Source organism: Homo sapiens, chromosome 10, assembly GCF_000001405.40.
Source record: "Homo sapiens chromosome 10, GRCh38.p14 Primary Assembly".
Classification (NCBI taxonomy): domain Eukaryota; kingdom Metazoa; phylum Chordata; class Mammalia; order Primates; family Hominidae; genus Homo; species Homo sapiens.
The window spans coordinates 79,355,377-79,382,189 of NC_000010.11; the positions used below are offsets into that span (position 1 = coordinate 79,355,377).

The window sequence follows — 26,813 nt, forward strand, 5'->3', positions numbered from 1 at the left end:
TAACACGGGTTAACAATAAGGCCCACCTCGTAGGGTGGTGATCCACGTGAAGTGCATAACGCAGTGTCTGGCGCACCTTCCTAAGCACTCTGGAGTGACAAGGATGATGACCTTTCCCCTGTCAGGGTCTTAGGAAGGAGGAGGGATGCCAGAGCAAAGGAGCCTCCATCATCTGAGGTTAGGAGTGGACTTCCTAGGATAAGCCAGTTCCATTTGGAATTGACTTCTAGGTGTTTCCAAATTCACAGGGAAGGCAGGATTGGAGGTAAGAGCTTCCCTAGGTAGACAGGGCTGTGGTGTGGCCCGGCAGTTGAGTGGTCAGGCAGGCAGTTCTCAGAGGAAATTTGGGCCCTTTTGAGGGCATCTAACAGAATTATTTCTCACTGGGGTTCCCTGAGTGAGGTTATGTGTAGTCTTAGGTTAATGGAGTCACTCTGAGGTCATGGTGACTGGGGTCGGGTCATTTGGAGTCATGGAGAGTTCCCATGAAGTCAGTTTCAGTAGGACAAGTAGTCTTAAAACAATTATCAAGAGCGTTAAGAGTCCTCAAAGCAGACAAGGAGGACACAAGGAGCATGGGCCCCTGAACCCCATTTGCAGTCATAGATGCCCTCCATTTATATTGGGGTTCTGTAAGGGATTTCATTTGAAGAATAGGATCTTGAGCCAAATCATAATTAGTAATTTCTCATCCAGTCCAACACTTTACAGATGGGTAAACTGAGACCCCAAGAGGGATTATGATTGTCCCATGTGACCCTGTGAATCAATTGGCAAAACGGGCTAGAATCCAGGGTTTTTGGCAGTCTGCAGGGATTTCTGTTGGGGGCCTTCGAGAATGCACAGGTGCCTTGGGGGACATATTGCCAAAGGTTCTCAGGCCACACACATTCAGAGCACAACTGATCTCTGAGGTCAAAGCCCACAGCTTCACTCCCTCTGGAGTTTCCTCTTTTGGGGCTTATGTTTAGTCATTGTGTTTCCTTCTTGCTGAGGAGAGTGTGTGTGTGTGCACGCGTGTATGTGTGTGTGTCTATGTGTGTGTATCTCCACCCAGAGAAGTCTAAGGTGAGGTGAGGGTGCACCAAACATGCAGGAATCTCCTAAAAACCGAGTTCCCTGAAAGCAGGGCCGTTCCCTGTGCTGCTCATTCCCTGAGCTCCCTGCACAAAGGCCTGAGCCTAGTCATATTTCTTGCATAAAGCAAGAACATAAGTAATATACAAATAAAATACTGGCTTGTTTCTGGCCAGTGAGCACTCAATACCTCATGCATAAATGAGGCAGTGAGTCTTACACATGCACTCATAGATGTAATCATAAGTGGTGCCATGTACACACGATTTTTAAAAAAAATCTGAAACATCAATTTTATTTTCTGTGATGTGATAGCTTTTCAAAATGATTTCATTGAGGTATATTTACGTACAAGAAAAGTCACTTCAAGTGTACACATCAATGACTTTTGACAAAAGCATATACTAGTAATATCTATCACCAAATTAAGATACAGAATGTTTCCGTCTTTCCAGAAAGTTCTCTCTGTGCCCCTTCCCAGGCAGCCACTGGATCTTATCCCTGTAATTTTGCCTGTTCTAGAACTTTGTAGAAATGGTATTGAGCAGGGTTCACTTTTTCATGTCTGGCTTCTCCAGTGTGGCATGTGTGAGAATGTGTGAGGCTCTAATATGCTTCTGGGTTCTAAAGAATCTTGCTCCATGAAAAGGAATTTCTTAAAGGTTTCGTAGGTCTGGGAAGGCCTAAAGCAATGCTTCTAGGAATCACAGAGTGCCAGTAAATCATGCAGATTTCTGGCCATACCTGAGACGCCTTTTGAATATTTGCATCTAGGAATCTGAATTTTAAAATAATAATTCTGAGAGGTGAAGCCAGCTGGACATCCCTTGGGGAACTTTCCTGTCTTACAAGAGGATTGTAAAATGCACCAATCAGCGCTCTGTAAAATGCACCAATCAGCACTCTGTAAAACGGACCAATCAGCAGGATTCTGAAAGTAGCCATTCGTGGGGAGGACTGAAAAAAGGCACTCTGATAGGACAGAAATGGAACATGGGCGGGGACAAATAAGGGAATAAAAGTTGGCTATCCCAACCAGCAGCCGCAACTGGCTCGGGTCTCTTTCCGTGTTGTGGAAACTTTGTCCTTTCCCTCTTCACAATAAACCTTGCTACCGCTCACTTGTGCCATCTTTAAGAGCTGTAACACTCACCGTGAAGGGCCGTGGCTCCATTCTCGAAGTCAACGAGACCATGAACTCTCCGGCAGGAAGCAATTCCGGAGACAAATCTGATAAAGCTTAAGAATTTGAGTGTAGCCACAGTGGGTAAGAGTGAAAGGGAAGGTCATGGCTCAACACTAGAGTCATCATTTACTTCTGGAAACATTTTTTACTGGACTTTCTGGGACTCTAGTGTGACACCCTCCACTTTTAAAAGAAGCCTCACTTAAGGAGTCTGACCGACAAGTCTCGGATGACTGGGTGGGGCACATCCTATTCCACTCAAGCTCTGTGGAGGCCAGTGGGCAGGGGAGCTCCTCGATAGCGCTGGTCAAAGTGGCCAGCCAGGCATGGTGGCTCATGCCTGTAATCCCAGCACTTTGGGAAGCAGAGGTGAACGGATTGCTTGAGCCCAGGGGTTTCAGACCAGCCTGGTCAACATAGTGAGATCGCATCTCTACAAAAAAAAAAAAAAAAAAAAAAAAAAAAAAAAAAATTAAAACTTAGCTGGGCTTGGTGACATGTGCCTGTGGTCCCAGCTACTCGGGAGGCTGAGGTAAGAGGATCACTTGAGCCCAGGAGCCGGAGGCTGCAGTGAGCCATGATCATGCCACGGGACTGCAGTCTGGGTGACAGAGCAACACGCTGTCTCAAAAAGAGAAAAGAAAAAGTGGCTCCCCCTGTCTTTGCCTATGCAGGAGCCTGTGAAGGAAGAAGCTCCTAGAGGGGTGGAGGCCCCAGCTCTTGTTTTGTCATCTAGGAGGAGGGGCTGCCTTGGGTGGGTCTTGGATGGAGTGCATTTCTCAGTGAGTGGATTGCGGAGGCCAGAAGTCAGCTCTATGTCCAAGATTCTTCAGAATATGGCAGGTAGAGAAAGTCTTGGGTCCATTCTGCCTCCCAGATCACCCAGCCTGTAGAGGCTGTCCAGAATTATGCTGATAACATTATTGCTATTCTATCATATTGTGATCGTTAATTTTATGGGTCAATTTTTTTTTTTTGAGATGGGGTCTCACTCTGTCACCCATGCCGGAGTGCAGTGGCACAATCATAGCTTGCTGTAACCTCAAACTCCTAGGCTCAAGCAATCCTTCCACCTCAGCACCCTGAGTAGCTGGGACTACAGGCACGTGCCACCATGCTTGGCTATTTATTTTTTATTTTTTTAAAAGATGCGGGTCTTGCTGTATTTCCCAGGCCAGTCTCTCCTGGCCCCAAGTGGTCCTCCCACTTCAAATTCCTAAAATGTTGAGATTATAGGTGTCAGGCACCACACCCAGCCTTATGTGTCAACCTAACTGGGTCACAGAGTGCTTACACATTGGGTCAGACACTATTCTGGGTGTGTCTGTGAGGGTGTTTCTGTCTAAGATTAATATTTGCATAGCTAGACCGAGTAAAGCAGGTGGTTCTCCCTCGTGTGGGTGGACTTCGTCCAGTCAACTGAAGACCTGAATAGAACAAAAGGCTAAGAGGGAACGCCTCCTGCCTGACGGTCCTCAGCTGGAACATTGGTATTTTCTGCCTTTGGACTCAAACTGAAATGTTGGCTGTCTCAGGGTCTTGAGCCTGCCAGCCTTCAGACTGGAACCTACATTGGCTCTTCTGGTTCTCAGGCCTTCAGACTCGGACTGGACCTACACCATTGGCTCTCCTGGGTCTCCAGCCCGCCAACTACAGGTGGTGGGTCTTCTCAGCCCCCATGATCACATGAGCCAATTCCTTATGTTTTTGTATCATATATATCTTATGTATATGGTATAAATATATACACACACACACACACACACACATATATATTCTACTGATTCTGTTTCTCTTACACATATTGTCTTTTTTCTATTTATAAAACCAAAATGCACATGTAAAAATTCAAATGTTACATAATTATATAATATAGAGAATTAGCATTGCCTACAATCCTATTACAGTAATAGTTGGTATAGGTTTCTGCATTTGCTTAGCTGCAAAGACCACCACTCCTTTCCTAACAATGAGAAGAAGTTGAATAAACTACAAAATCGTAACTTTTCTTGAGCTCACCAGAAAGGCAACCAAATAACCTGAGTTTCAAAGAGGAACAAAGCGGCCAGTCGCCGTGGCTCACGCCTGTAATCCCAGCACTTTGGGAGGCCAAGGTGGGCGGATCACCTGAGGTCAGGAGTTGGAGACCAGCCTGGCCAACGTGGTGAAACCCTGTCTCTACTAAAAATAAAAAAAAAATAGCCGAGCATGGTGGTGCATGCCTGTAATCTCAGCTACTCTGGAGACTGAGGCAGGAGAATCACTTGAACCGGGAGGCGGAGGTTGCAATGAGCCGAGATTGCACCACTGCACTCTAGCCTGGGCAACAGAGTGAGACTCCATCTCAAAAAAAAAAAAAAAAAAAAGAGGAACAAGGCCCTGCAAGGAGAGACAGGACACACAGTTTCACCTGTGGCAGAGCACTGTAGGAAGATATGACCATGAAACAACTGTGTAAAATAAAATAAAATTAGGTAAGCCTTTTAATGAATTGCTAAAGGCCAAGAGGGGGCTAATGTGTCCATCTGGAGTAGCTGGGGACCCCAGATGCAAAGGGAGTTCAACATCTTTCTCCAGGCTCCCACCAGATGCACAGAAGACCTAAGAGGTAGCCCAACTTGGTGGTTCAGGTCTGCAGGAGGGGACCTTCAGCTGCTGGAGAAAGGCACGGAGCCTCGTCCACTTCCTCAGGTTCTTCTCTCCAATGAAGTAAATTTGAGAATCCACTGGGAGGTTGGGCATTACACCATCCACCCCCAGGAACATGTAAAAGTGCACTGTGGCTGGGGGAAGTAGAACACACATCCTTTTATCCCTGTGGGAGGGGTAAGAAGCCATCCAGGGCCCAGGATCCTTTAGCGATACCAACCAGAAATTGACTACCTCTGGTGGAAGAGGGAGCAAGAAACAGCCAAGACATGCCTAAGACTAAGGCGGGATGAGGACAGCAGAAAAGCCTCCTGCCTTACTATGAGCCTGGTCTACCAGTGGGGGAGGGCGGGGCATGGAGAGAGACACCCTCCGTATTGCAGAAAGCTGAGTGTGGAGTCTAAACAATCCTTTGGCACCCCAGCTCCACTGTAAGCACAAGTCAACAGTAATCCACCACTTAAGGAATTTGAAGCCTATGGAGCTCTGAAAGCAAGAATAGCAACACAAACCCCAAATCCAGCTCAACCCCTGAGGCGACTAACTCAATTTCCCACAATAATGGCCTGAAAGAATCAGTGGCATGCCTGTTTCCAGTGTACATACTGTATTAGTCAGGGTTCTTCAGAGAACTAGAACCAATTGGATGTGTATATATGTATAGGCAGAGGGAGAGAGAGAGATTGAGAGATTTTAATTAATTGGCTCATGCAGTTGTGGGACCTGGGCAATTCCAAATTCTGCAGGACAGGCCAGCAGGCTGGTGACTCAGGGAAGAGTTGATTTTGGAGCTTGGGTTCAAGAAGCAAAATGCCACCTTCTTTGGTGGACCTTAGTCTTTTTCTCTTAAAGTCTTCAACTGATTGGATGAGGCCCACCACATTATGGAGGGCAATATGCTTTACTCAAAGTCACTGATTTAAATTTTAATCTCATCTCAAAAATACCTTCACAGCAACATCTAGACTGGTGTGTGACCAAATATCTGAGTACCCTGGCCTAGCCAAGTTGACACATAAAATTAATAATGACACATACTGTTCACTACTGTCTCTTCTATTGTTGGAATTCTATTGATTTTCAACAAAAAATTAGAAGACACACAAAATGCAAAGAAGAAAAACATTGTCAAGAAATAAAACAACAGAATCAGACTCAGATATAACATTGTCAGATATGAACATTAAAATAACTCTGATTAATATGTTGGAAGATCTAGTGGGAAAGGATGCATTTCAGTAGAGAAAAACTACAAGAAAGAGCCTAATGGAGATGCTAGAAGTGAAAAAATATATTAAAATGAAGAATTCCTTTGATGAGCTTATTAGTAAACTTAGCACAGCTGAGGAATATATCAGTGACCTTAAAGAGGTCAAAAGAAATTAATCCAGATGGAAACACAAAGAGAAATCAGAATGAAAGAGAACAGAGCATCAAAGAACTATGGGATAATATCAAAATGCCTAGCAGAGGTGTCATTTTAGCCCCAGAATGAGAAAAGAAATGAATGCAGAAGAATAAGTATTTAAAGAAATAAGTGGTAACATTTTTCCAGAATTATTGAGACATATCAAACCACAGATACAAGAAATTCTGAGAACCTCAAGCAGGAAAGACCACACACACACACACGCACACACACACACCAGAGTGGCTTAGCATCAAACTATGAAAACCAAAGAAAACAAGAAAATCTCTAAGGCAATCTCCCACAACACACACACACCAAAACCGTGAATTACAGAGGAACAAAGATAAAAATGATAGCAGACTTCTCATTAGAAATTATGCAAGTTAAAAACAATGAATTGACAAGTTAATTTTTATTTTTAATTTTTGTGGGTACTTAGTAGGTGTATACTTATGAGGTACATAAGATGTTTCGATTCAGGCATGCCATGTGAAAGGGAAATGAACACATCATGGATTGAGACTTTAAAGTACTGAGTGGGAGAAAAAATAACCCATCTATTCACAATTCTACGGCCAGGGAAAATACCCTTCAAAAATAAAAGCAGAAAACAAAAGCAAAAATCCTTTCTGACAACAAAGGCAGAACAAATTCACTGTCAGCAGACCCATGATACAAGCAAGGTTAGAAGAAGTTCTTCAGGAAGAAGTATGATACCAAACAGCAGCTTGGATCTACACAAAGAAATGAAGAAATTCTGGAAATGGTAAAAAAATTAAGTATATAAAAGCACTTTCTTTCATTATTTTAAATGTAATTTGACTTAAAAAGATTATCTTTAAAAATAATCCTGCTTTAATGAGGACAAATACCTAATGCAAATGGGGCTTTTAAAACCTAGGTGACGGGTTGATGGGTGCAGCAAACCACCATGGCATATGTATACCTATGTAACAAACCTGCAAGTTCTGCACATGTATCCCAGAACTTAGAGTAAAATTAAAACAAAAAAAATCATACTTTAACCTTTGTTTCAAAGTCTATCACAGAATTTTAGTATGTGTAAAAGTAAAATGCATGCTAAAATTGCACAAGGAATGAGAGGAAGAAATCAGAAGTAAACTGTTGTAAGATTCTTACGCTATAGTTGAAGTTGTATATTATTTGAATGTAGACTGTGATAAATTAATGACATATGTTGTAAACATGAAAACAACCACTCACTTCTTAAAAGAGATCTATTTACATTAGTTTCCCATGGCTGCTGTCACAAATTACCATAAACATACTTGCTTAAGACAATACAAATTGGCTGGGCGTGGTGGCTCATGCCTGTAATCCCAGCACTTTGGGAGGCCGAGGCCGGTGGAACACGAGGTCAGGGGTTCAAGACCTGCCTGGCCAAGATGGTGAAACCCCATCTCTACTAAAAATACAACAATTAGCCGGGAGTAGTGGTGGGCGCTTGTAATCCCAGCTACCTGAGAAGCTGAGGCACAGAATTGCTTGAACCCAGGAGGTGGAGGTTGCAGTGAGCCGAGATTACACCACTGCACTCCAGCCTGGGCGACAGAGTGAGACTCTGTCTCAAAAACAAACAAACAAACAAACAAACAAGAACAACAAAAAACCCACAGATTTAAGTCTGAAATGGGTTTCACTGGGCTAAAGTCAAGATGCTGGTAGGTTGCATTATTTTGGAGGCTCTAGGGGAGAGAACATTCCTTGCCTTTTCTAACTGCTTCTAGAGGTTGCCTGTATTCCTCGGCTTGTGGCTTCTTCCTCCATCTTCAAAGCCAACATAGCATCATCACCTGAATCTCTGCTTCTGTATCATCTTCTTCTCTGACTCTCACTCTCCTACATTCCTCCTGCACTTTTCAGTACCCTTGTGATTACATTGGACCCATTGGGTAATCCAGATAATCTTCCCATATTAAAATTCTTAACTTAATTACCTCTGCAAAGTTCCTTTTGCTATGTAAGTTAACACATTCATAGGTAGAAAGAGAGATGAAAGGAACAAAACACAAATGGATAGTATTTGGATGACAATTTAAAATTCAAACATATTATAATAACATTACATGTAAATAGTCTAAATATTGCAATTAAAGCTTATTCTATTAAGACATATATGGTAAACCCTAGAGAAACTACTAAAAAAAACCCTCAAAAAATATAATGAAAAAAATCACATTTAATTAATGAAAATTTCAATACTATATTGGAAAATATTCACTTGATGCAAAAGACAATATTAAAGAAGAAATAGAGGAACAAAAATGACATGAGACACAAGAAAAACAAAAGGTAAGTTGGCAGATGCAAATCCAAATATGCTAATGACGACATGAAATATAAATTGATTAAGCAATCTGATCAAAAGACTGAGCTAGACCGCATTAAAAAAACCAGATCCAACTATATGGTGTCTATAGGAGACAAGCTTTTAAATACATACAGAAATAGACTGAAAGTAAAAGGATGGAGAAAGACACATTAGCTTATATAACAGCAACCACATGAAAGCTAAAGTGGCTACAATAATATCAAACAAAATATAATTTAAAACAACAAATGTTACTGGAGGCATGGTGGCTCACACTTGTAATCCCAGCACTTTGGGAGGCTGAGGTGGGAGAATCACTTGAAACCAGGAGTTCAAGACCAGCCTAGACAACATAGTGAAAACTTGTCTCTATTTAAAAACAAAACCAAACAAATGTTACTGGAGATAAAGAGGGACATTGTATAATGGTGAATTCATTGGAGAGATATAACAATTAGATACATATATGTGCCCCATAAAAGAATACCAAAGTACCCGAAGCACAACCTGACAGAAATAAAGGGAGAAATAACAATTTAACAATAATAGAGACTTCAATAATGAATAGAACAACTACACAGAAGATTAACAGGGAAAGAGGACTAGAACAAAACTGTACATGAACCAGAACTAGCAGACATCAATAGAACCCTCTGCCTAACAACAACAAAGGGTACCTTCTTCTCAAGCACACGTAGAACCTTCTCTAGGGCAGGCCATCTGGCTAGACTATAAACAAACCTCTGTACATTTAAAGGACAGGAATAATGTGACGCATGTTTTCCAAGCACAATGGAATGAAATTAAAAGTCAATTGCAGGGAAAATTTGAGGGAACTCATAAATAAGTAGACATTAACAATTAAACAACACAGATCTTCTGGGATGCAGCTAAAGCAGTGATTAGAGGAAAACTTATAACTGGAAATGCCTACATTAATGAAGAATAAAGGTTTCGAATGAGTAACCTAATCTTTCATCTTAAAACACTGGGAAAAGAAGACAAAATAAACCCAGAGCAAGAAAAAGGAAGGAAATAAATATTAAGGCAGAAATTAATAAAATAGAGATGAGAAAAGCTGTGGAGAAAAATCAATGATCCAAAAGCCAGCTTTTCATAGAAAGATCAACAAAATTGACAAACCTTTAGTCAGTTTGATGAAGAAAAAAGAGAGAAGACTCAACTTAGTTGAATTATAAATTAAAGAGGGAATATTATTACCAGCCTTTCAGAAAGAAAAAGGATTAAAGAGGACTAGTATGAACAATTATATTGCAACAAATTAGGTAACTTACATGAAATGCACAAATTCCTAGAAAGACACAGACTTCAAAAATATATAAGCTGAATAGACCGCTAGTAAGTGAAGAGACTAAAGCAGTAATCAAAATCTACCTGCAAAGAAAAGCCTAGGTCCAGATGGCCTCTGGGCTGCATTCTACCTATCACTCAAAGAAGAATTAATACCAATTTTTTACAAACTCTTCCAAAAAATAGAAGAGAAGGGAACAGTTTCCCTGTTATTCTATGAGGCCAGTATTACCCTGATGTCAAAACCAAAGACATCACAAGAGAAGAAAACTATGGACCAATATCGCTTATGAATATGGCCACAAAAATCCCCAACAAAATACTAGCAAATGAATACAGCAACATATAAAATGAATTATACATCTTGACCAAGTGTGATTTATCCCAAGGGTGTAAGGTTGGTTTAACATCTGAAAATCTATTAATATAATATATATTATAATTACATAATATATAATAGCATATAATATAATTTCAATAGAATAAAAACAAAAATTACATGATTATCTTAATAGATGCAGAAGAAGCATTCAACAAAATCCAAAACCCTTTCATTATTAAAAAAAAAAACCACTGAATGAGCTAGTAATAGAAGGAATCTTTCTCAATATGTAAAGGACATCCATGACAAACCTAGAGCTAACATCATATTTAATGGTGAAAGACTGAATGCTTTCCCCTTAAGATCAGAAGTAAGACATGATATTTGCTTTTGCTTTCGGAACTTTTTTTTTTTTTTGACACAGGGTCTTACTGTGTTGCTCAGGCTAGAGTGAGTGCAGAGCTGGAGTGCAGTGCTGCAATCACGGCTCCCTGAAGCTTGACCTTCCAGGCTAAGGTGATCATCCCACCTCAGCCTCCTGAGTAGCTGGGACCACAAGCACACACCACCACACCTGGCTAGTTTTTTGTTTTTGTTTTTGGTAGAGATGGGGTTTCGCCATGTTGCCCAGGCTGGTCTGAAACTCCCGGACTCAAGCGGTCTATCCCCTTGGCTTCTCAGAGTGTTGGGATTATAGCTGTGAGCCACTGCACCCAGCTTGCTTTTGGAACTTCTGTTCAGAATTGTACTGGAGTCTGTAGTTGGGGCAATTAGGAAAAACAAAGAAGCATCTGGTTCATAAAGGAAGAAATAAAACTGTCTCTACTGTCAGATTACATAATATTTTACATAGAAAAGCTTAAGGAATCCACTACAAATTATTACAACTCATAAAAAATTGTATCACAATTGCAGGATATAAGCTCAACATACAAAAAAATCAGTTGTATTTTTATACATTTGCAATGATAAATCCAAAAATGGAATTAAGATAATTCTATCCACAATAGAATACTTAGGAATAAATTTAACAACAAAAGTGCAAAACATATTCTGAAAACTACAAAACATGGTTGAAAAAAATAAAGAAGATCTAAACAAATGAAAAAACATTCCATATTCATGGATTGGAAAACTTAATATAGTTAAGATGGCAGTACTCCTCAAATTTATCTACAGATTCAATGTAACCCTTATCAGAGTCTCAGATGACTTCCTTATACAAATTGACAAGCTGATTCTAAAATTCATACAAAATTATAAGGGGTCCAGACTGACTTAAACAATCCCCAAAAACAATAATAAAATAGGAGTACTCACACTTCCTGATTTCAAAACTTATGAAAGCAATGATAATAAAGACAGTGTGGTATTGGCAGAAGGATAGATATGAGTAGAATTGAGATTACAGAAATAAACTCATACATCTATGGTCAACTGATTTTCAACAAAGATGCCAAGAGCATTCAGTGGGAAAAGAATAATCTTAACAAGTGGTGCTGGGACAACTGGATAATCACATAGAAAAGTATAAATCTCAACCCTTACCTCACATCATAAACAAAAATTAACTCAAAATGATCAAAGAAGCCTAAACCCCCCAAATAAAGCAAGACCCCCATCTCTACAAACAAATTAAAACGTAGCCAGTTGTAGTGGCACACCTATAGTACCAGCTACTCAGGAGACTGAGGCGGGAGGATCACTTGAGCCCAGCATTTTGAGGCTGTACTGAGCCATGATGGCACCACTGCACCTCAGCTTGGGCCACAGAGTGAGACCCTCTCTAAAATAACAAAAACAACAACAACAAAAATGGATGAAAGACCTAAACATAAGGGCATAACTAGATAACTTTTTAAAGAAAATATAGGGATAAATTTTTGTGACATGTGCAAACATCGTGTCTTATTCCTGATCTTAAGAGGAAAGCATCCAGTCTTTCAGATTTGCCAAATGATTCATAGATATGAAAACAAAGCATGAGCAACAGAAGGGAACAAAAATAGAAAAAGATAGATTAAGACTTCATCAAAATTTAAAACTTTTGTGGTTCTCCCACACAATGGAAGAAAATATTTGCAAATCATATATCAGATAAGGGACTTGTTTTTAGAATATATGAAGAGCTCTGACAACTCCATGATAAAAAGACAAATATCCCAATTTTAAAACATGCAAAAGATTTGAACAGACATTTCTCCAAAGAAGATGTACGATTGGCCAATAAGCACATGAGAAGATGCTCAACCTCATTAGTCACCAGGGAAACACAAATCAAACCCACAATGAGATACCGCTTTATACCCGCTAGGGTGGTTAGATTAAAAAGTCAGATAATAGTAAATGTTTGCAAAGATGTGGAGAATTTGAAACTCTCGAGCATTGCTGTGGGATACAAAATGGTCCAACTGCTTTGGAAAACTGCCTGGCAGTTTCTGAGATGATTAAAGATAGAGTTATCCTATGACCCAGCAATACCATTCCTAGGTATGCACCCAAGAGAAATGAAAACGCATCCATAGAAAAACCTGTACACAAACTTTTATAGCAGCGTTATTCATAACGGTCAAAAGGTAGAAACAACCCAAATGTCCATCCATGGGCAAATGGATAAAGAAAATGTGGCATAGCCATACAATGAAATAGTATTTGGTTATAAAAAGAAATGAAGTACTGATACCTGCTACAACCTGGATGAATCTTGAAAACATTATACTATGTGAAAGAAGTCAGTCACAAAAGACAACATAGTATATGATTCCATATGACGTGCCCAGAATAGATAAATCCATAGAGATGGAAAATAGATTAGTGGTTGTTTAGGGTTGAAGAGAGTAGATGGGGCAGGGTATCAATGCATGTTGGCTGAAGTTACAAGGGTTCTTTATGGGATGATAAAAATGTTCTAAAATTGACTTTTGTGATTGTTGCATATATCTGTGAATATACTATCAACATTTTCATGGGTAAATTGTATAGTGTGTGAACTATATCTCAGTAAATCTGTTTAAAAATATGTATAGACAGTCCCTGACTTATGATGGTTCAACTTACAGTTTTTTCAGCTTTACAATATGCATTCAGTAGAAACTGTACTTTGAGTACCCATAGGACTATTCTGTTTTTACTTTTGGTACAGTATTCCATAAATCACATGAAATATTCAGCACTTTCTTATAAGAAAGGATTTGTGTTAGATGATTTTGCCCAACTGTGGGCTAATGTAAATGTTCTGAGCACATTTAAGGTAGGCCAGGCTAAACTCTGATGTTTGGTAGGTTAGGGGTATTAAATGCATTCTCAACTTATGACATTTTCAATTTACATTGGGCTTATCAGGATGTAACCCCATCACAAGTTGAGGAGCATCTATATTAGCAAAGTCTCACAATTCTTTGGGTGTGTAAGCTGTTTCCTCTGGAATCCTGCTGTTCCTCTGGAAAATGCTGAGATTCGACACCTATTATGGGTCTGGGGAGTGATTGTAGCAGGCCTTGAGCATCCCCTTTCAAACCTTATGAGGTTATCACAGTGCTTTTAAGCAAAGAAGTGTCTTTTCCTCAGACACAGGAGAGCAAGCTAATTCCATTGGTAAGGAAGAAACAGAGTAGCTTGAGGGTTCAAGTTGTTGGTTTCATTTTGATCCAATCAGGCGACTCCATTCCAAATTTCAGGATCTCATTTGAGACAAAGTCTCACTCTCTTGCTCAGGCTGGAGGGTGGTGGCATAATCAAGTCAAGTCACTGCAACCTTGACTTCCTGGGCTCAAGTGATCCTCCTGCCTCAGCCTCTCGAGTACCTGGGACTACAGTTATGCACCACCATGCCTGGCTAAATAAATTTTATTTTATATTTTATTTTATTTTATTTTTGTTTAGTAGGGAAGAGGTCTCACTATGTTGTCCAGGCTGGGATCTCATTCTTTTTGTATTTTCTGTTTGTTTGTTTGTTTGTTCATTTTTTCAGATGGAGTTTCACTCTTTTTGCTCAGACTGGAGTGCAATGGTATGATCTCAGCTCACTGCAACAACCTCTGCCTCCCAGGCTCAAGTAATTCTCCTGCCTCAGCCTCCTGAGTAGCTGGGATTACAGGCACACATCAGCATGCCTGGCTAATTTTGTATTTATAGTAGAGACAGGGGTTTCACCATGTTGGCCAGGCTGGTCTCAAACTCCTGACCTCAGGTAATCCACCCGCCTCGGCCTTCCAAAGTGCTGGGATTACAGGCATGAGCCACTGCACCCGGCCTGGGATCTCATTGTTTTTCATCAATGCCCTTTCACATGAAAAACTTTGTGAAAAACTTGGTGAAACTGTGAATTGAAATGATGTTGTAATTTAGCAACCTATGTGGTAAAATTTTTGTTTGATTTTAAGTGCTATTAGCCTAGTGCCTACAAGAAATAAGATAATCTTTTAGAGTTATCATGGAAGCTTTCTGGTTCTCAGGCTGTAATATAACCAGAAACTTTCTGGTTCTCTGGTTTATGCCAAGAATTAAAGAACACAAGTTCTAAATTTTCTTTTGGTAAGCAATCAAGCGTCCTCAAAAGAATTTTCCCCACATCCCAGTCTTTATGGTCATGATTACTACTGTAATGGTCAAGTGCTGCTGTCACCTGGTCTCCCAAGGCACATGCTTCTCTTGTCACTTAATTACAGGTGACAGCATAATTAATTGTGATGTCACTGCATGCCATGGATTACTAACATACCATTTCCCACTGGTAGACATGTTGGAGTCCAAAAGCACAGCAAAATGCATCTCCAAATCTTATCTTGGTGGGGTTATCTTCTGGGACCACTTCTGGTATCAATTCCATATAGTCAGAGTCCAAACAGGAGACAGAAACAACACAGTAGTTTTAACAGGGAATATGTAAAAAAAATTATTAATTATAACAGGAGTTTACCAACTAAAGGAAAAAGAGAATACTGAAGACTAAAGTACTATGACCCTGCCACATCCCCCTCTCCGAGAAACACCCAAGAATGATCAATACATACTATTTAAAAAAAAAAAAGACTAAAGTATTTCTCCAGTGCCCTGTACTGATAAAGCTTCATATAATTCCAGATGGCAAGGGAGAACAGTTACAGTATTACAAACAGGACAATGTAGGGAGGACTTAGAACTAAGAGACAATGGACTGATAATGGTGCATTGAGCATTGCTTTCTTATCAAATCTGACAATCTCTGCCATTCAATTAAATGTTTATCACTTATATTTAATGTAATTCTCAATATAGTTAAATTTAAACCAACCATCTTGCTATTTATTTTGTTTGTCCCATCTGCCTTTTGTTCTCTGCTTGCCTTTTTTTGGATTGAGGTTTTTCTCCAAATTGATTTCATTTTTATCACCATTATTGGCTATTTGTTTATATATATGTATAAAATGACAAGTGTTGATGAGGATGTGGAGAAACGAACCCTCATACATTGTTGGTGGAAATGTAAAATGTCACAGCTATATATACATATATATAATATATATTTATATATATAAATATATGTTATATATATAAATATATATTTAAGAGCTGGGGTCTCACTCTGTAACCCAGGCAGTAGCACAATCATAGTTCACTGCCATCTTGAACTTCTAGCCTGAAGAAATCCTCTTGCCTTAGCCTCTCAAAGTGTTGGAATTACAAATGTGAGCCACCATGCTCAGCCTAATTATTCAGTCTATATTTTTAGTGGTTTCCCTAGGATTTACTATATATTGTTTAACTTATCAAAGACTAACTGCAAATAGTATTATACCACCTTACGTATTATGTATATATTGCTGAATCAAATGATTAGGTTTAACTTTTTTAGGAATTGCCAAACTGTTTTCCAAAATGGCTGTGACACTTTACATTTCCACCAACAATGTATGAGGGTTCCAGTTTCTCCACATCCTCATCAACACTTGATATTATCTTTTTTTATTCTTGCCATCCTAGTGAGTGTGAAGTGCTACTTCATTTATTTCTGACTTGCATTTCTCTGATGATTAATGAGGTTGAGCATCTTCTCATGTACTTATTGGTCAGTTGTATATTTTCCTTGGAGATGAGTCTGTTCAGATCCTTTGACTTTTTTAACTGGGCTATTTGTGTTTGTACTTTTGAGTTGCCAGAACTCTTTATATATTCTAAATACAAGTTCCTTATCAGATATGTGATTTTCATATACATTCTCTCATTATGTAGGGTGTTTCTTCACTGTCTTGATGGTGTCCCTTGAAGCACAAAAATTTTAAATTTGGATGAAGTCCAATTTATTTTTTGTTTTCAAAAGCACTTTAGGCTTCCACACACTATTTCAAAAATAAAATAAAATAAAAGTTCCTTTGTGGAGAGATTTGGATATCTTTCTCTTATGGATTGTTTCTCTTTCTGATGAGCCAGTATTCTGGGGACTGGGCAGGGTGGTAGCCTCTGATATTCTTGGCTTTCCTCTCCTAGCATAGAACCTGTGCTCTATGAGTGAGCTGGAGCAAGATTTGGGGTCCCAGTGTTTTTGGCCTTCTGAATCTGGGATGGAGCCACTATTCTATGGGTTAGGGCTGGGTGTAGAAAGAAACCCCCCACTTCTCAGCTGCACTCATCCAGAATTTAGCTTCTTTAACTTGGAGTTGGGAGAGATGGGCAAAATGTTATTGGTCTGCCTCTCCCACTAATATGTGAAAATACTTGATTGGGAAGTGAGGGGAGAGGGAGCCTTGTCTTTTTGGCCACCCTCACCTTATGAGAAGATTCCATTAAGCTGAGCTGAAGGTGAAGGAAAAGGGAATAGTTATGTGTCAAATGCCATAGACCTGCTGTTCTTATTGAGTTAGTTTTAGTGACGTCCCCACATACTATCTTTATAGTCATGATTACTGTTATGGTCAAGGGCTGCTTTTGCTCCTGGCCGGGAGATGAGCTCAAAGGTGAGCCAGGCCGAGGAGATGCCCCAAGGCAGAGTGGGAGCCTGACTTTCTTCATTTGCTCTATATCCTTAGGACAATTTCCAGAGACTTTAAAGGTTAATTTTTAAAAAGCAGTTTTCACCAACATTGCTTGTTTCACAGGCAAGTGGGCTCATGGAACTCTTCACATTGCCTCCAAGAAGTGGAACTCTTCACTTTTTTACTTTTAAGTTATTTGTATCTTTATGTTTCAAGTTGAATCTATTAAAAGGAATAACCTTAGACAAGTTAAATTTAACAGTTTAATTGAGCAAAGAGTGATTCATGGATCAGACAGTTTTTGGAACCAGAACAGGCTCTAAGAACTCCAGCCTGAAGTGTGGTGGGATACCCACATTCCCCTCCCAAGAGAAAGCAGCCAGGCCAGGTGCCCTCAGAGAGCGCCAGAGGAGGAAGGCGGGTCTGGCCTCAGCCTTCTTCTCAGTTTCAGTCTCCCCGACCAGGCCCTCCCAGGTCTAAGCAGGAGAATCTCAGACTGTTCCTCCCCACAATTGTGCAAGTGCTTACTGGACCCCATGCCCAAGAGAGCTGTGTGGTCCCCCATGCCCCTTTCTAGCACTAGCCTAATAAATTGTATTGATGACCCCAGGGCAGCCTGTAGGCTCTATCAACTCAACATGGAATAATCGACTTGGGAGCTTGTCAGAGCGAAGGATTCGAGATGGAGCCCAATGCCTGAGTTTGATACATTGGGACTGAGGCCTGGAAGATCACAAGGATGTGATCAAAGATAACAAGAATAGGAAGACAAATAGAAAAAATAGAAAGACAAATGCCACATGATCTCACTCATTTGCGGACTTTAAAAAGCTGATGTCATAGAAGTAGAGAGTATAATAGTGGTTACTATGTGCTGGGGAAGGAAGGCGGGATGGGGGAGATTGGCCAACAGGTACCAAATTACAGTTAGATAGGAGGAATCAGTTCTGGTCTTTTCTTGCACAGTAGCATGACTGTAGCTAAGGACATTGTATTGCATATTTCAAAATAACTGGAAGAGAGGGTTTTCAGTGTTCTCACTACAAAGAAATGATAAATGTTTGAGGTGATGAATAAGCTTATCACCCTGATTTGATCATTACGCAATGTACGCATGTATCAAAACATCATACTGTGTCCCATAAATATGCATCGTTAAGAGTCATTTAAAAATAAAAAAAATTTTAAACCCAGTGGCCTGAGATCTGAGTCAAACCCTGGCTCTCCTGACTCCAGATCTTCCCACTGTACCAAACAGAAAGGTGATTAAGAAAAAAGATTGGTCAGGCACAGTGGCTCATGCCTGTAATCCCAGCACTTTGGGAGGCCCAGGCAAGAGGATCACTTAATTCCAGGAGTTCAGGACTCGCCTGGGCAACACAGTGAAACCCTGCCTCTACAAAAAATACAGAAATTAGCTCAGCATAGTAGTGTGTGCCTGTAGTCCCAGCTATTCCAGAGGCTGAGGAGGTAGGATTGCTTGAGCTCAGGAGGTTGAGGCTGCCATGAGCTGTGGTAAAGATTGTGCCACATGTGCACCCCAGCCTGGGCAACAGAGTGAGACTCTGTCTCATAAAGAAGAAAAGAAAAAAGATTGACTTGTAAAACCAAGAATGCTTCAGACCCTTCAACAGGGAATTGATAAGTATGTTAACCAACAAAGGAATACAGCTATTAGACAAATGAGAAAGGTCTCTCTGTTAACAGGGAAAGATGATGATGATGAGTTGAAGCAGGATATGGAACAGCCTGTCAAGTATAATCCATTAACATACACGTGTACACACACACATACACACACACACACGCACACACACACACAGATTTCTATAAGCAAAAGACTATGGAAGGATATGGCCAAACTCTGGACAGTGCTGGTCTGGGGGATGTTGGGCTACTGGGAGTAGCCCACACTCTGCTTACTGTCTTTGTTTCCATTTCACATTGTGCAGGCATTGTTTTTATAACCAAGGGCGAAAAACACAATCTTGCCACTTGGCAGGTGCATGAGGCCCAGGTATCCCTGTACTGGGGAGGTCAGGGTTTACCTGGGACTTGGGAGAAAAAAAAAAATTCCCTTTTGTCCCCTGCACTGGTTCCCTGCCACCTGGAAGTTGCAGTTTTCAGCTTCGGCCACCAGAGGGCAGCAGGGAACCAGCTGATTGCTGCGAGAGGCTGGAACGCTGGAGAATTCTGAGCTGGCAAGTTTGTTGGGGTGGGGCAGGCAGACCCAGTTTGAAGCAGCCTCCACCATTGTGCGGGGCTGTGGTCAGGTTCCCAGGGAGAGGATGACCAATTACATGCTGAGCAAGGGTCCTTTGCCTCAGCACAATGGGGAAACTGAGGCAGAAGGCCAGTTGGAACTGGACTAATAGGCTGTGGCTGCCTGGGGAGGGGAGATGAATGTCCCACAGGCCAGAGAGAGTCAAGAAACCCAAGTCCCTCCCTGGGGCTTCTCTTTGTCATCTTGTCAGGGTGAAGGTTCCAGAAAGCATGGCTCAAGGGCTAACAAGTGGAGGCAGAGACAGAGGGAATCATGGGGCCCATTTAGAGGTAGCACAGGCTGAAGTGGCCATAACCCTCCATGACCAGAGCAGTAGTTAACAATTCCTGAGCACACCTCATGTGCCAAGGGCTTAGCCATTGTATCTCAACTAATCTCAACGGTGACCTCGGGTAGGTAGAAGGGTATTAGTATCTCCATTTTACAAGGGAGGAAACTGAGACTCAGAGAGGGAAGGTGGCTTGCTTAAGATGGCGGCTGATAAGTAGTGATGTTGTCACTCAGGGTCCAGCCCCTCTGGCCCCAGAGTTCTTGCCCAGGATAAGAGTGCAGAGGGAGATGGAGTTCCAGGCAGGCACCATGGTCCTGGACTTACAAGGCAGGACTTGGACCCCGGGTTGCCCCACCATCTGCAGGAGCTGAGTGTGGAGGGTTGTGGGGCCCCTGCTAGTGACCAGGGAGAGGATGGGGGTTGTTGAGAAGATGGTAGAGGGGAATCTCAGCTCCCAGCTTTGAGTGCTTCTGGGATGGGGCATGGGGAGGGTAACTGGCCTCAGTACAGGGCTCCAGGAGGCTGTAGGGCCAGGCATGGAAGGGAAGGAGGAGCAAGTGTCCAGGGAGAGACGGCACAGGGGCCTGGCCTGGCTCGATCACGCTGGACACAGTGGGAACAGGAGCAGAGCTGCCCCCACCCCCAGGAGCTCCTGAGAACTTAGTAAGGAAGGAGGTGGAGGGAGGGCTGGGGCTCCCCTGGGTTCTGGCTTCCACATAGGCCTTCAACAACCATGGGGCCGGCCCTAGATGGATCATGACTCAGCTACTACAGGGAGGTAGGCAGGCCAGGTTGGGCAGTGAGGAGAGGCCCAGGACAGACAGAGAGGGCTAAGAGAAGGCTGGTGGCTGCCTGGCTGTCTGGGAGGGCAGTATAACAGCAGGAAGCAGCAGGAGGCAGGGGTTAGGCCTGGGCCTGAAATGCCCCTGGTGTTAGGGAGTGGAGGGGGAGAGGTTCTGGGAGGGGTCGGGGGGGGACTTTGCTACTTGCTACCTCTATGATCTTGGACAAGTCACTTGACCTCTCTGAACCTCGGCTTCCCCATCTGTAAAATGGGAATCCTTATAGTACCCACCTCCCAGGGCTGTTACAAGGACCAAAACTGATGTGTGTGAATCACTAGCACCATGGCTGCCATACCAGCTCCTGGCTGGATGTTGGCAGCGACTCTTACACGCTCGTTTACTCCACATTGAACCTGACCGTGTGCCAGGCCACAGTGAGCACTGGAGGTCGGCAGTGAAGCAAGCCCAAGTAGCCCCTCTAGAGGAGGTAGTCAGGACTGTGGAGCATGCTGCGTGGGGTGAAGATGTGGAGGGACCCGGCTCCCACTCTGCCTTGGGGCATCTCCTCGGCCTGGCTCACCTTTAAGCTCACCTCCTGGCCAGGAGCAAAAACAGACACAAATCAGAGAGAGCAGTACAGCAGATCCCAGGTTCTCCTCCGGACCCTATTCCAGATTGTTTAAGAGCAAAGCCCAGACACTGCCTCATTTCACCCGTAAATTCTCCAAAATTTAAGACAGAACATTTTTTACATGATCCCAATGCCATTATGACACCGAACAAAATGCAGATTCTCTCAACTGCGTCAACTGTGAGAATGGACTTTTGCTCACTGTGTGCAAGGCCTGGGTGTGACATTGCCTGCCTACCTGGGGTCCTCAGCCCATGGGAAGGCCTCAGGGCCTGTGGGGAAGGAGATGAGCAGATTCACGTGACATTCGTTACCCTGCTGGGCAGGATCCCCACCCTACTGCAGTGCCCTTCCAGCTGGAGAGGGGCCCCAGGCCCGCTGCCCCCATGGGACTCCTGATGGTCTGTGGCTGTGTGTGTTTGTGGGCTGTGCATGTATGAATATGTGCAGGCTTGAGTGTGCAAATGGGTGTGTATGTGAGGGTGTCAACAGTGTGAGATGTGTATGAGTGCATGTGTGAGATGCATGTGAGTGCGTGTGTGAGATGTGTGTGTGGGTGTGAGATTGTGTGTGCATGTGTGAGTGCACGTGTGAGATGTGAGTGCCTGTGTGAGATGTGTGTGTGAGATGTGTGTGTACGTGTGAGATGTAAGTGCGTGTGTGAGATTTGTGAGTGCATGTGTGAGATGTGTGTGCACGTGTGAGATGTGTGAGTGCATGTGTGAGATGTGTGTGCACATGTGTGTGGGTGTGAGATGTGTGAGTGCAGGTGTGAGATGTGAGTGCGTGTGTGAGATGTGTGTGCACGTGAGATGTGTGAGGGTGTGCATGTGAGATGTGTGTGAGTGCACTGCAAGATGTGTGTGTGCATGTGGGAGATGTGAGTGCGTGTGTGAGGTGTGTGCACATGAGATGTGTGAGGGTGTGCATGTGAGGTGTGAGTGCACATGTGAGGTGTGTGGGTGTGCATATGAGGTGTGAGGATGCATGTGTGAGATGTGTGAGGGTGTGCGTGTGAGGTGTGTGGGTGTGCATGTGAGATATGAGTGCACGTGTGAGAAGTGAGTGCACATGTGAGATGTGTGAGGGTACACGTGTGAGATGTGTGTGGGTGCGCATGTGAGATGTGAGTGCGCATGTGAGTTGTGTGAGGGTGCGTGTGAGATGTGTGCATGCGTGTGTGAGATGTGAGGGTGCGTGTGTGATGTGTGGGTGCACGTGTGAGATGTAAGAGGGTGCATGTGTGAGATGTGTGAGGGTGCACATGTGAGATATGTATGTGGGTGCGTGAGTTGTGTATGAGTGCGCGTGTGAGATGTGTGTGAGTGCGCGTGTGACATTTGAGGGTGCGAATGTGAGATGTGTGAGGGTGCACGTGTGAGATGAGGGTCTGTGTGTGAGATGTGTGAAGGTGCACACGGGAGATGTGTGAGGGTGCGCATGTGAGATGTGTGAGGGTGCACGTGTGAGACGTGTGGGTGCGCGTGTGAGATGTGAGTGCACGTGTGAGATTTGTGGGTGCGTGTGTGAGATTTGTGGGTACACGTGTGATATGTGAGTGTGCGTGTGAGATGTGAGTGCGCATGTGAGATGTGAGGGTGCACATGTGAGATGTGTGAGGATTCACGTGTGAGATGTGAGGGTGCATGTGTGAGATGTGGGTGTGTGAGATGTGTGAGGGTGCACGTGTGCGGTGTGGGTGCGTGTGTGAGATGTGTGAGTGCACGTGTGAGATTTGTGGGTGCACGTGTGAGATGTGTGAGTGCGCATGTGAGATGTGTGGGTGCACGTGCGAGATGTGTGGGTGTGTGAGATGTGTGTATGAGATGTGAATGCATGTGTAAGATGTGTGAGGGAGCACGTGTGAGATGTGTGAGTGCATGTGCGAGATGTGTGGGTGTGTGAGATGTGTGTGAGAGATGTGAGTGCACGTGTGAGATGTGTGGGTGCGTGTGTGAGATGTGTGTGGGTGTGTGTGTGAGATGTGCGAGGATGCGTGTGAGGTGTGTGAGCATGTGAGATGTGAGTGCACTGTGAGATGTGAGGGTGCACGTGTGAGCTGTGTGGGTGTGCACATATGAGATGTGTGAGTGCACGTGTGAGATGTGTGTGGGTGCATGTGTGATGTGTATGGGATGTGAGTGAGCGTGTGAGATGTATGGGTGCACGTGTGAGATGTGTGTGAATGTACGTGTGGATGTGTGAGTGTGCGCATGAAATGTGTGTGGGTGCGTGTGAGATGTGTGTGTGCGTGTGAGATGTGTGAGGGTGCCCGTGTGAGATGTGTGTGTGTGAGATGTGTGAGGGTGTGGGTGTGAGATGTGTGAGTGTGTGTGTGAGATGTGCGAAGGTGCGCGTGTGAGATGTGTGAGGATGCGTGTGTGTGTGGGCAGGGGGAAGCAAGTGGCCCTGACATCTCAGTTGGGATCCAGCCTCAGAACAAACGGCAGGGAAAGTGTCGAGAGTGGCCTTTATACCCAAGCGCAGCCCGTTCTTGGCTCCCTCCAGTTCTCTGGGGGAGTAGCAAGGACACCTGACTTTGGAGAGATGGCAAGCCCACCTCGGCCCTCATTCCCTTCATCTGGGGTATTCCCTGCCCCTTCTCCCCACTTCCAAACACCTGGGCAGGAGCCGGGCACAGGCTGCACAGGAGGCAGCCCCTGGAAGGGTGGCATTCAGATGCCTAGCCCTGGGTTTACCAGGCTGTAGGGAGGAGGACCAGGGTCTCTGAGGAGGGCAGGTGGGGGCTTGACTCCCCAGCAGACTATGGGTCCCAGGCTTAGCTCAGAGCTCTGGGCCAGGTCCCAGGACACACTGACAGACAGCTGTTTGCTGAAGGAAGGACTGGACAGGCTGGTGGGAATCCGCTCGGTGGCCCTGGTCAGGATCGGAAACAGCGCAGACAGTGGAGGTTGAAGGGTGTGGTGGAGGTCCCTGCTTGTCAATCTGGGGCAGCAGGGCTTCCCCAGGCCTCAGTTTATGCACCCGACATACTGACATGTTGTTCTCTGCCCTGGCTTCTGCCAGGACTGTTAGGAGGATGCATGAGGCCAGAAAACCGGGAGGAACTCCAGCCTATGGCCGGAGTCCAGCGCAGAAGCCGGCTGGTAGCCTGAGCCTGGGAGCTTCAGCACCACAGTGGGGGCTGGTGGGAGAGAGGTGGCCACCCCAGGGCTGTGTGCGGGAGCTGCCCAGGTGTCTCCTGCCACTCAGTGTGTCCTGATTGCCCCCAGCTTACAGATAAGGACATGAGGCTCTGTGTCACACATTCCAAGTAGAGCCTTGTCAGGGTCCTGCCAGGGGGGGCCCTGGGCTCCCGATGGGCTCTGGTGCTCAGGCGGTTGAGCTCCCGCTGTCTCTCCCCAGGCCAGGTCTCCCCTCTCTGTGTCTGGAGCAGATGCCAAGGGGGCTCCTCACAACCTGGCAACCATCACCACTTGGCACCAACCTACCCCACCTCCCTTCCTCCTGCCTGGTCTCTTGCCCTTTGAGACCACCCAGCCCTGGACCCTCACTCCTGGTCTGACCTTTGCAACTCTGTGTCTGTCCCAGCTCTGCCCTGATACGCTGCACTGGGAGGTGAGAACTCCAAGTTCAATCAAATCCTGGCTCTGCCACCTGCCTGCTGGGTGAGTGTGCTAGGTGAGACCTTTCCCGGTGGGGCCTCAGCTTTAGCCCAGAGCAGGGCCACCCTCTCTGGATCCCTTGCCGGCCATTTCTTTGGTGGACTCTGCTCTCTCCTGGGTCCTCAGCAGCCAGCTGCCTCTGGATATGGGCACTGAGTCCAACCGGAAATCCTTCCTGTCCAGGGAGTTACTGGTTTCCACGGCTCCAGGAGATGTTGAAATGCAGGCTGTTTGCCTTGGGTTTGTGTTCTTTCCACAGAAAACAAAACAAAACAAACACACAGGCGCATGCACACTGCCACACACTCAAAGACAAGGGCATGTCATCAAATAACAGCCCTGAAGCCCCAGCCTCAACATGCATGGGTGCCCAGTCAATGCTTACTGGGTGCGCAAAAGCACCTGGGGCCCTGGGTTCGAGGCCTGGCTCCCTGCGGAATCCCTGGTGTGATCACTGGTCGGATGCTTCTGCCTGAGCCACAGACAGTGGGAACAGGAGACCCACACTCCCCGGGCCCCTCCTGGGTGCAAGCAGTGCGCTTTGTCTTGTGTTCAGTGGGTTGTCTTATCCACACAACACCCCGGGGAGAGCTGGGGCTTGGAGAGGGGGAAAGCCACCCAGTGTCACACAGCTGGGGTGGCAGGGCTGGCCTGGTGGCAGTGCTGAAGGGGACAGGAGGACCCTGAGACAGACACCGGCTCTGTTTCCTCAGATCTGCCCAAGAAGAGCAATAGCCCCACCCAGGCTGCTGGAGGACTTGAGCTGGCAGAGGGCATGGTGTGGAGGAGGGGGTCCATTCTCCTCTCACCCTGGCGGAGATGGGTCCCCTCTCCACTCCCTTGCTGGGCCCGACTGGCAGCCACCTGCTTTCAGGCCAGTGACTCTGGCCATTCCACACACTGAGGGCAGGCACCGCGCAGGGAATTCTCTAGATGCAAATCAGCAGGAAGGGGCTTTGTTCTGGGATTTGCTCTGTACCCCAAATAAGACAGGAGGTCTGGCCTTGGTGGCCTCTGTTCCTGCCTTTCCCTCCCCCTTCACATCCATGGTCCCTGACCCCAAGGACTGGCATTTTGTTTTCTCTGCTCCATCTCAGAGGCCACAGTCAGGGGCCGTGGGATGGCCCATAGGGATGTGCTTTGACTTCTACACTATTCAAAAATCCAGTTAACTCTTTAACTCGTTGCCAAAATTTAAAACATGGAAAATTTCACATAACAACTGGGATTTCCAGTTTTTCTCCTGCTGCCCCTCCCTCCCTCCCCAGGCAACAACATTCATAGATAGCAACAGTTGGCTGGAGCTGAGGACCGGGCGCCCCCTTGACAGGACTCTCTGCCCCCTGCCTCCTCCCCATCACCGTGGGTCCCACAGGAACACTAGGGACCATCTGAAGTCCAGTGCTGCTCAACTTTGGATGCACAATGGACTGAGCTGGGGGGCTTTACAAACTCAGACACCCTGGACCACTTCCTTGGCCTCCCTGGGGTGGGACCAAGGCATGATGTTCTTAAAGCCCCGCAGGTGACTCAGGTGAGCAGCAAGGTTGAGAACAGCAAGAGCCGATGCTGGGCTTTGCAGGTGGGTGGCTGCTGATAGTCTTGCTTCGTTGTGGTTCCCCATGACCCTCAGCAGGAGCCCCACCTCATGACAGCCCAGGCTTTGGTCAGAAGAGGGGCCCCTGCCCCGTCTCCCCTGGACTGATCTGTTTGCTCACTGTGTGATGCTCCCTGTCTGGGCCCATATCCTGATCTTGGCCGAGTGTGCCAAGTGGGAGCGGCCCAGGGCTGCCGTCTCTGAGGCAGATTCACTCCTATATATGGTCACCCGGGAGTCCCCCCGCTGAGTGAACGCGTGACCTCATCTGCCGACAATCTCACCCAGTCTGGGGCCAACCTGGGGAGGGCCGTTGCCCTGGAGAGTGTACAGTTGGGGGCAGAGAGGCTGGGAGGAGGCAAATCAATGGCATGGAGGCAG

At 44.8% G+C, this 26,813-nt stretch overlaps 5 annotated features.

Annotated features, from left to right (window-relative positions):
- Positions 673 to 1,173: a transcriptional cis regulatory region, noted in NCBI's record as "chr10:81115805-81116305 region (GRCh37/hg19 assembly coordinates) targeted for CRISPR interference". NCBI's record gives its function as "positively regulates PPIF gene expression in THP-1 monocytic cells {active_cell/tissue: THP-1}" and the evidence as "EXISTENCE:mutant phenotype evidence [ECO:0000015][PMID:33828297]".
- Positions 18,995 to 19,495: a transcriptional cis regulatory region, noted in NCBI's record as "chr10:81134127-81134627 region (GRCh37/hg19 assembly coordinates) targeted for CRISPR interference". NCBI's record gives its function as "positively regulates PPIF gene expression in LPS-stimulated THP-1 monocytic cells {active_cell/tissue: THP-1(+LPS for 4hr)}" and the evidence as "EXISTENCE:mutant phenotype evidence [ECO:0000015][PMID:33828297]".
- Positions 18,995 to 19,782: a biological region, named in NCBI's record as "CRISPRi-FlowFISH-validated PPIF regulatory elements GRCh37_chr10:81134127-81134627 and GRCh37_chr10:81134130-81134914". NCBI's record gives its function as "regulatory_interactions: PPIF".
- Positions 18,998 to 19,782: a transcriptional cis regulatory region, noted in NCBI's record as "chr10:81134130-81134914 region (GRCh37/hg19 assembly coordinates) targeted for CRISPR interference". NCBI's record gives its function as "positively regulates PPIF gene expression in GM12878 lymphoblastoid cells {active_cell/tissue: GM12878}" and the evidence as "EXISTENCE:mutant phenotype evidence [ECO:0000015][PMID:33828297]".
- Positions 20,337 to 20,873: an enhancer, noted in NCBI's record as "H3K27ac-H3K4me1 hESC enhancer chr10:81135469-81136005 (GRCh37/hg19 assembly coordinates)". NCBI's record gives its function as "activates a minimal SCP1, AML or CMV promoter by ChIP-STARR-seq in naive and primed H9 embryonic stem cells {active_cell/tissue: H9 hESC(naive and primed)}" and the evidence as "EXISTENCE:reporter gene assay evidence [ECO:0000049][PMID:30033119]".